Here is a 9,729-nt window from a genome sequence, read left to right on the forward strand (position 1 = left end):
AAAACACACTTTGGTTTCTCCTCTATAGCTAGAAGGTATAGACCCTAGAAGCAGTACGTGGATTTTATGTCTCATTGTGTCCTCCATGGTCTCTAGTACAGGCTGGTATGATGGTAGTTCCTCAAAAAAGTTTGGTCAAAAGAATGAATTAACAGAAGGAAGGAGGGACAGATGGATAGGTGGGTAAATGAATGGATGGATGGTGTGCCACCCTGCAAGCCAGCATTGATGGTCCTGTAATACTGATTACTATTTGCATTTTGTTTCCTCCCCACCCTCTCTCTTTTCCTTCCTTCAAATATTTTTTCTTCCTTAGTTCTCATCAACCCCATCTTTGGCTCCATTGTGAGGTTCCTTTCTCATAATTTCACTCTCTTGAGATCAGAATGAAAAGCTGGGTCAATTTTCCATTAATTAATTCATTAATTAATTGAGTCAATAACTGTTTATTGAGCTCCAGCTGTTCCTTTGTCCATTGATGCAGTCACTTGACAAGATGCTTATTGAGCACCGGTGGTGTGTCTGATGTGGTGCCAGAAGCTAACTGATGGGGAAACACAAAGATCTAAGCAAGATCCCTGCTCTCTGGGGTCCAACATCTAAATGACAAAGTGGACAGAAGCCAGCAAACACTGAGCTCTGCTGACCCGTTGCTCCCATCCTGATCAGTAGCCCCATCTTCAGGTTGTGAAGGTCAACCCACCTCCAAACCCCATGTTGTTTTGCCTCTTGTTCTTTGTTAATTGGTCTAACAGGTTGCCTGCAGTGGCCACATAATTAATATGGCATTTGCAGAGACAGGCACTCTCTGCTCGCTACCTCCCTTCGCCCTGCTTCTTGCTTCATCTTCAGTCTCCCCTGCTCCTTCCTCATCTGAATCCTCAGAATGCAGAATTAGAAGAGATCTTGGGGTGCTTCTGGTTATCCAGAGCCCAGCATGGGTGTCCCATCCACAGCGTCTCAGAAGCTGGTCCCTCACCGTGGCCCTCACCTCCAGCAACAGCCTGCTCTCTCTGCTTCATGAGCCTCCTGTCCTGCCCCACGAAGGCACGTTCATATGTTCAGCTCAAGTTGACCCACGTTGTCTGGACTGCATAAGTTAGAGCCTGGAATAATCCTGATTCATCTTTTGAGCTGCAGCCTTTCAGATTTTAGAATTATGGCTATTATGTTCCTTTTCAGGATTTTCTTGAGGATAAATATTTCCAGTTTCTCAGCTTTTCCAAATTCAAATTTGACCTCTCACAATCCTGAAGATGTTTCTCTGGACAGCCTCTAGTTTTTCTAGAGACCCCTCAAAATGTGCCCCATTCCCCCAAACTGACTACTACAAAGAGAGCTGCCCAGCAATTGAGGTCAGCTGGGTTATTGCCTGGTTTTAAGTGACCACTCTATTCCTACTTGTGCACCCTAAGTTTTCATTAACTACGATTTACATACTGCTAGCTCTTATTGAACTTAGAGCCAAATAAAACTACCAAGTCTTCTTGACATGAATAAAATAAAATAGCGTTATATGTTAAGGTTAAAATAACCCACTAGGATTATCTGCTAGTCCAATCTACTAATTTTACAGGAAAGGAAACTGAGGCCCAGAGAGATCAAGGGACTGTGAAAAGGCTCATAGCTTGTGTGGAGTAGGGCACAGCGGGGACTCCTAACTCCTGATCCAGTGCTCTTTCTAAAACACCAGGCTGCCTCCTGATTGGCAGCCATTTCGAGGGTAAATAGAACGCGTCTTCTACTTTCATGTCAGTCTTTCTCATGCAGTGCTTTATGCTGTTGGATGTTGGAACCCAACGCATGACCCTGGGTTTAGCCCTTTGGGATTTCATCTTATTCATTTCATGCAATCTGTCGAGATAATTTCCAGCCTGATTTTGTGAGGCATTGCTGTGGCAGGTCCTCCCAGGCTTGTGTCGGGCTGACGTATGGAATTTTCTCCAGCTCTGGATGCTTTTCATTCTGTGCCCTGTGCCAGAGTGTTCCACCGCAAACCTGGCAGAGGAGACGCACTGTCTGAAGCCAGACGCACCGCGCGCTTCCTTCTCCCCTCGCCTGTCTGCCTGGCGGATGTCTTCCACGTGAGTCTCTCTCCTCCCACTTGCCTCCTGCCCTGCTTGTTAGGTAGGAGCCCCACAATCCATCCCAACTGTACCACCAGCGTGGAACTTAGGGGCAAATGTGCCAAGCAGGGTTTTGTTTTATTTTGTGAAATAGCCTTTCTTGAGAATCTACCTGTTGCAGAAAAAAAAAAAAAATCCCTGAACCAAGCATACTCAGACATGTTTCCTATCCCTTTATGGACTCACATTACGATTCTCTCCTTAGTTTTCTCATCTATATAATGGGAGGAGACAGAAACTCAGGACTAGTAAGCATCTACTCTGTGCTAGCAGCTATGCCAGGGGCTTCATTTACGTTTGCCTTTACGTTTACTTTTAACTGTCAACACAAGCCTGCAGATGATATCCCCATTTCAAAGAAGAGAAAACTGACCTCAGAGAAGTTAATTTGCCAAGGCTTATCCAGTTAGTAAGTGGCAGAGTTTCTTTACCCTCTGCCCTCCCTTGCTGAGTTACTATAAAAATCAAATAATTTAGTAATGAATGTAAAGCTTCTTTGAAAAGTGTAAAGCACTCTGTAAACATAAGGGAGAATTGTTAAAATACTTAGGTTCCTCACTTGCTTTGTCTCTCCTTCTTCTTTTCTGTCACCTCCCTAAAGTATAAGCAGCTGCCTTCGGTCCAGACCTATCAAAGAAATGTCATAAAACTATTTTTCAAAATGTCAAATGCCTGTGTACTTTAGCCCAAACTAATTATGCCCTTTGATTTTCTCGAAGTCACAATGCAAAACCCTGGGAGCTTCGAGGATGTGCCCTTTCTCCTCCATCCTGAACTAATGGAAATCAAGGCTGAAGGCTGAGCCTGCCGGGGAGCCCACAAGAGCCCCTCAGTGCCACAGAGGCCTGGCCTGACTTTGGCAGGTCTCCAGCAGTGACCACAGAGTGCTAAATAATAATAGGGTTGAATTATTTATACAGAGGCCAATGACTCATGAGGCATGGTCCACTTCTAGAAGAGTGCCAGGGTCCCAAGTCTAAGGTGAGTGGCCACCAGAGGGAGGACTGCAGTCCTGGCCTCTAGAGCACCAGTGCACACACCCCCCACCCCCCCACCCTGCCATCATCCCACCCCATGTACAGCAGGCACAGCTCTAGCACAGTGCCTGGAGGGCAACTAACATTTCAGTGACATTATTGGGTGTTTACACCAAGCTAGCTATTTGTGCATACAATTTCCCATTTCATCTCTAAAACAATTTTTATTTTTCATATTTTTCCTGATAAAGAAAGTGAAGCTTATGTTTCAGGTTATACAGTTGGCAAAGCATAGAGCTGGAACGAGATCCAGGTCTGACATTTCTAAGATACCATGTGCTATTTCTTTTAGAATTCCTCTTTCCTGACAATTACATTTAAAAGCATAATCTGGGAAGTGCAGATGGTGCCAGGCCCAGTCTCAGGGCACAATGGATTCTTTGTATGGTCTTTAGGGCCCTTTGTGATCTGATCTCATTCTGGATTCTTCTTATCAGACACAATGTTTTTCATCATCAGAATCACCTGGAAGCTTTAAAATACAGATTGTTGGAATCCATCCTTGGTTTACTGTAATCCAAATAATTGGTACTGGAATCAATTATTTGTATTTTTAAGGCTTCCAAGTGATTGTGATCATCAGTTGGTTTGGAAACTATCATGTTATGTGCAGAAAGTCACTTCCAAATTCCCATCCATATTCCCATTTGTGTGACTTTGCTCAATTCCATGGACTTCACTTAAATTGGCTTTTTTCTACTCCCACCCATTGTTCTCATCCAGCTCACACTCCATCACCTCTGTAAGGATCTTGGCTCCCAGAGCTTCCAGAAATGCTCCATCATCTGTATTCCATTAACACCTTTGGCTCTAAACTGATATATATTAGTCAGGATGTGAGTTTAGAAGCTGTCCGAGAGACCCAAAATAGCAGTTTTGCCTCATTTAACACCTATAAATACATCCCTGTCTTCTCTCACGGTACAGAATAATCAGTCCATCAGGGACCCAGGCTCCTGCAATCTTGTCGCTCATCCCTAGCGTGGTGCCTTTGTTCTCATAGCCCAAAACGGCTCATCACCATGCCCATAACCAGACACTGGAAAAAGGGAAAATGGAGTAAGGAAGAGCAACGACAAAGAATTGCACACAACAATTAGGATCACCTTCCACTGTCCAGAACTTGATCACATAGCCACCCTTAGCTGCAACCAAGGTTGAGAGATTTAACTTTATTTTGCATCACTACATGCCTAGTAAAAATGGAGGGTTCTGTTAATTGTGCTACTGGTTGGGGAGAATGGGTATTGGGGAACAACCTAGCAGGCTTAACTTCTACTTGGGATTGTAATTTTCTCTTTGTGTCTGTGTTTCCAGCTAGACTATAAAAGCTCTGTGAGAACTAGGCCCCTGACTTACACCTGTTTGTGATCCTTCTAGGAAGGCACTAGATCAGTACCACTGGTTGGCAAGATAGACTAGAGTGATTGACAAAGCTCTGGAATTTAACTTTTATTTTAGTCCTTGTTTTCTACAATTTAGCACAAGTTTCTTAACCTCTCTGGGCTTTAGTTTCATAGAATCATAAAATTTAGTTGAAAGTCACCTTCGATATTATCTAGTGCCATCCTCTCATTTTGTAGATGAGGAAGCTGAAAACCAGAAAGAATAGTGACCTGTCCAGGACACAAAGCTTTATAAATAGAAGAGCCAGAGACCAGGTCTCCTAGAAACCAACCCAAGGACAGCACTAAGGTGTCTTCCCATATCCAGAAAATAAGTACAAGGGACAATGTTATCTTTAAGCTTCCTTCCAATTCAGAAACTCTGAGCCACATATGCAGTCACATTTGTACCCCTTGCTCAAATTAAGTATAAAAGTGGGATAATTTCCAAGCACTCAACCACTGCATCCTGCTGGATCTTGCTATGTACTTCAGCAGGTTAGATGGACACTCAAGAGGTTCAGTTCAGTGCTTTGGGTTCCAGGGTCATCTAAGAAGTAAACTGGGTGGAGAAAGCAAAGAAGAGATACTTGGGTGACCCCACTCTCTGGTCACAAGCAGTAATATTCCCTGTGAGCTTCTTAGGAGATGACACAGCTCCAGGTGTTGTGGAGCAGCTGCCCTCAGGGAATTTGGAATCCAGGTCACACACAGTTAAATAGCAGTAGAGGAGGGCGTATGTAACATTAAACAGAAGAAACGTCACAAGGCAAACTGGCTGTAATAATAATAACAGCTTCAATTTATTGCTCAACTGCAATGTGTGCCCCACACTGTGATAGGTGTTTGTTTTATAGGCTTGATCTCATTAAATCCTCACGACAAGCCTCTGGGATTACTGAAGGTCATACAGCTGGTAAGTGGTGATTAATTGTCAGAGGAGTGGTGTGAAGAACATAAATTATGGCGCAGTTCAGAAAGAGAGAAGCCTGAGGATGGAGTGGTCTGGGAAAGCTCTGTGAAGGAGGAGAGTTAAACAGGATTCTGAGGGTAGGTGGGATGTGAAGGAGGTGAGAAAGAGGGAAAGTGAGTGTAGATGGCAAAGGCAACACAGGTACAGGGGACACTGAGTTAAAAAATTCCCAAGTAAAGCATGAGAGTAATTAAATCCAAGGGCAAACATCCAAGCTGTGGAATTGTGGGGCTAGGGAGTGGTGGGGGCAATGAAACACCCAATGATCATTCTTGGAAAAGGGATAAAAGGTCAACTGAAGTCCCATAGCTCACATGTGGCCTGCTACAAAAGAAAAGAGGAAAGAAAATGACTGAAAAACTCTAAAGGCAATTGTGTCAAGTGACTTACAAAAAAAAAAGTATCTTTTCATCCAGTAATCTCTCTTCTAGGGTTTAAACTAACAAAAATTTCAGAGACAGAGTGAAAACTGAAAACAAATGTCTAAATAATAGGAGAATTCTTGAATATATTATCACACATATACATGGTCAAATGTTATGTAGCTTTTACAGAACGTACTTTTGAAAAATGTGTAATGATGTCACATAATGTCAAGAAGCAGAATGTGGTCCAGGCGCAGTGAGTGGTTCACACCTGTAATCCCAGCACTTTGGGAGGCCAAAGAAGGTGGATCACCTGAGCCCAGGAGTTTGAGACCAGCCTGGGCAACGTGGTGAAGACCTGTCTCTACAAAAAACAAACAAACAAAAAACCCCACAGAAATTAGCCAGTGTGATGGTATATGCCTGTAGTCCCAGTACTTGAGAGGCTGAACTGGAGGATCGCTTGATCCTGGGAGGTTGAGGCTGGGGTAAGTCGTGATCACACCACTGCACTCCAGCCTGGGTGACAGAGGGAGTCCCTGTCTCAAAAACGAAACAAAACAACCCTCCCCCAACCAAAACAAAACAAAGAAGCAGAATGCAAAAAAGTATAGTACCACAGTTCGTCATTTTAAATTATATGTATGTATATATTATGTAAAATCATATGTGAGTATACACACACAGAAAAAAAGACTGAAGGAAAGACAGCATATTTACCATGGTTATCATCACAGAGTAAGAATGTGGGTAAGTTTTGCTTTAGAGTTTTCCTTTTCTATATTTACTAAGTTATGTTCAGTGAGCACACACTTTTATAGTAATAAAAATGTTCATTTAAAATTTTTTAAATTTAAAATGCTCATCCTCTGCCATAAAGCAATATTTATAAACCTCTTGCTTTGTCTTCAAAGAAAATTCATTGTCTCTGCCTTCAGTATGCAGACACAAATATTCCAACCAAATGATTATTCAGTAATTGCTGAATCCATAGATTTTTTTGAAAGTTCATTTAAACTGGGTTTTCCTGGGTTCCCATGTAACGCTCCCAGCTCCATGGCTCCCAAGGGACTGGAAACATTAAAGTCTCCCATTAATGTTCTCTGGAGCCATTTAGATAAATTGTCTTCCCCAGAGCTATAAATCCTAAATGAATGACACCCTTATTTCAGGGGACAGGTACCAAAGCCTCTTTCAAACTTGATGATTTATGTATCTGTGGCTTGCAGAATGTCAGGGGTCCTTCATCAATATCCACAGGGCCTTCCCAGGTATAGGAACATACCACATCTGATGGAAAGACATTACTGTACTTGGGTCAATAGCTTTCACCTTTATCCGTCCTGCTTGCTTTGCGTTGGGGGTTTATTTATTTTTCTTTCTTCCACTGAAATAGCTGGGATATGAGCTGAGTAAGAGAGGCAGTGCATTAAATATAACTTGATCAGAATCCCAGGCTGTCTTTGCCCTCACTGCAATAGGGGCAACATAAAGGTTAATAACTGAGAGAGGCCCCCACGCACTTAACCACAGTGCAGCACCCCATCACCAAGTGACAATTAGGAACTCTCCATGAATGCCAATGACTGGTGATCAAACAGAGCTTCACCCAAACCAGGCGCACTTTTGCATTAGCTCAGCTCTCCATTCATCACTGAGCTGACAGCTTGCAGAGCTCAATGTTGAGTATGCGGCTCTGTCTTTGTTTTACCCAGTGAAATGATCTATGCTACCAGGACTGAGTGGGAGAGGAGCAGGGGAGGGAACGAGGGAAATGAAATAGGCTTGTCTTTGGCATGGTTGGGCAACAGCTCAAAGTGTCTGTTTGAGACTTGAAGAGAAATATCGCATAATGATCTTGCTTGTTCCTGCTTTCAACTTTTTGGCTCTCAGACAAGGATGGTCCTACCTTAAATAGTTCTCTTTTTGGAGGCAGCATGACAAATTGGAGCAAGCACATAGCCAGCTGTGTGATTTTGGGCAAGTCACTCTGGGTCTTAGTTTTCTCATCCATAGAATGAAGGAGTGGATAAGAACAGTGATTTTCAAACCAGGTTCCTCAGAGTGTTAGGGTTCATAGGGGCACCTCAGACCCTGCAAGGGCATGCTTCCTGCAAGGGCAGAGGTGAGGAGGTTAGTAAATTCCAGGCACAGCTGCTCCATGTTGGCTCATTGAATTTTATTAGTAGACTACTTTATTTTTCTTTTATTATACTTTAAGTTCTAGGGTACATGCGCAGAACGTGCAGGTTTGTCACATAGGTTTACACGTGCCATGGTGGTTTGCTGCACCCCTCAACCCATCATTTACATTAGGTATTTCTCCTAATGCTATCCCTCCCATAGCCCCCAATCCCCCGACAGGCCCTAGTGTGTGATGTTCCCATCCCCGTGTCCATGTGTTCTCATTGTTCAACTCCCACTTATGAGTGAGCACATGCGGCGTTTGGTTTTCTGATCTTGTGATAGTTTGCTGAGAATGATGGTTTCCAGCTTCATCCATGTCCCTGCAAAGGACATGAACTCATCCTTTTTGATGGTTGCATAGTATTCCATGGTGTATATGTGTCACATTTTGTGCAGAACATGGTCTTACATTCTAATTTCATTTGGTCCTCACAATTTGTAAGGTAATTAGGACAGATATGACCAACTATTCCAGTAACTATTGCTGTGTTAAAACCACCTCAAGACTCTATGGCACAAGACAACCATTTTATTATGTTCACGGATTCTTTGACTCCGGAATTTGGGTGGGCACAACACGAAATGCTCTTCTCTGTTCCATAATGTCTGAGACCTCAGCTGGAAAGACCAAAGGCTGGTAGTGACTAAACAGCCGGGGGCTAGATTCATCTGGATGTGTCCTTACTCACGTCAGCTGAGCTATTGACTGGAACACTGACACACAGCCTTTCTCTGGGGTTGTCACATGGGCTAGTTTGGGCTTCTTCACACAATGGCAGCTGAACTCCAAGGGCTAATGTCCCAAGAACAAGGCAGAATTGCACTTTATTTTTATCATCTGAACTCAGAAGTTACATATTGTTGCTTCTGCCATGCCCTGTTGGTTGAGGCAGTCCCAAAATTTCACCCAGGATCAAAGGAGGGACAAGATGGGAGAAGAATCAATGTCACAGTGGAGGAAGAGCATGTAGAACGGGAGATAGTGTTATTATCTTGAGAATATACAATCTGCCAAGCCCTCTTCATGTGAAAGATGAGGAAACAGACAGGGGAGAATTCATACACATTTAGTAAGAGCAGAGCTGGGACTAGAGCCAGTTACTTCAGATTTGAGCCCTCTCTTTGCCATGCTGCTTTGGGTTCCTCATTTCATCTTTCTGAGTTAACTCTTTATTAATTCAGTGGATAGACTCCTTAAAATATGAATCCTCATCATGGCGATGCATGACCAGCCCAGGAGAGCTGTATCTTCTTGTGGATGGAACACTTTTCTCATCTGTTCTCAGAAAATTGGAGTGAAAAATGTACATAAATTCCATTAAAATTAAGGTAAAAGGCAAGGCTATTCATGTCTCTTTCTAGCTTCCAGTCCAGCATCAGGAATATAATTGGTACTTAGTAAAGGATTGAGCTCTTTGTGTGTGTTTTTGTTTTTTATGTATCAACATTTGCTTTTAAATCCTTTCCAAATTCAAAGCCATATAAACAATTCTTTAAGGTTGTTTTGACTCTTTGATGGTTCCTACTTGGAGTTTACTTTTATCTTCATCCATTCTGACAACACCTAAGTGTATTTATTTCCAATTTACCAACATGAAAAATGAAAGCCGAGAGACAAAAAGAGAGCCAAGGACACAAGGTAAAGTCTGAGAAAAG

General features: G+C 42.8%; 1 annotated feature.

Annotated features, from left to right (window-relative positions):
• Window positions 293-794: an enhancer, noted in NCBI's record as "NANOG hESC enhancer chr15:69431124-69431625 (GRCh37/hg19 assembly coordinates)". NCBI's record gives its function as "activates a minimal SCP1, AML or CMV promoter by ChIP-STARR-seq in naive H9 embryonic stem cells {active_cell/tissue: H9 hESC(naive)}" and the evidence as "EXISTENCE:reporter gene assay evidence [ECO:0000049][PMID:30033119]".

This window comes from Homo sapiens, chromosome 15 (assembly GCF_000001405.40).
Source record: "Homo sapiens chromosome 15, GRCh38.p14 Primary Assembly".
NCBI lineage: Eukaryota > Metazoa > Chordata > Mammalia > Primates > Hominidae > Homo > Homo sapiens.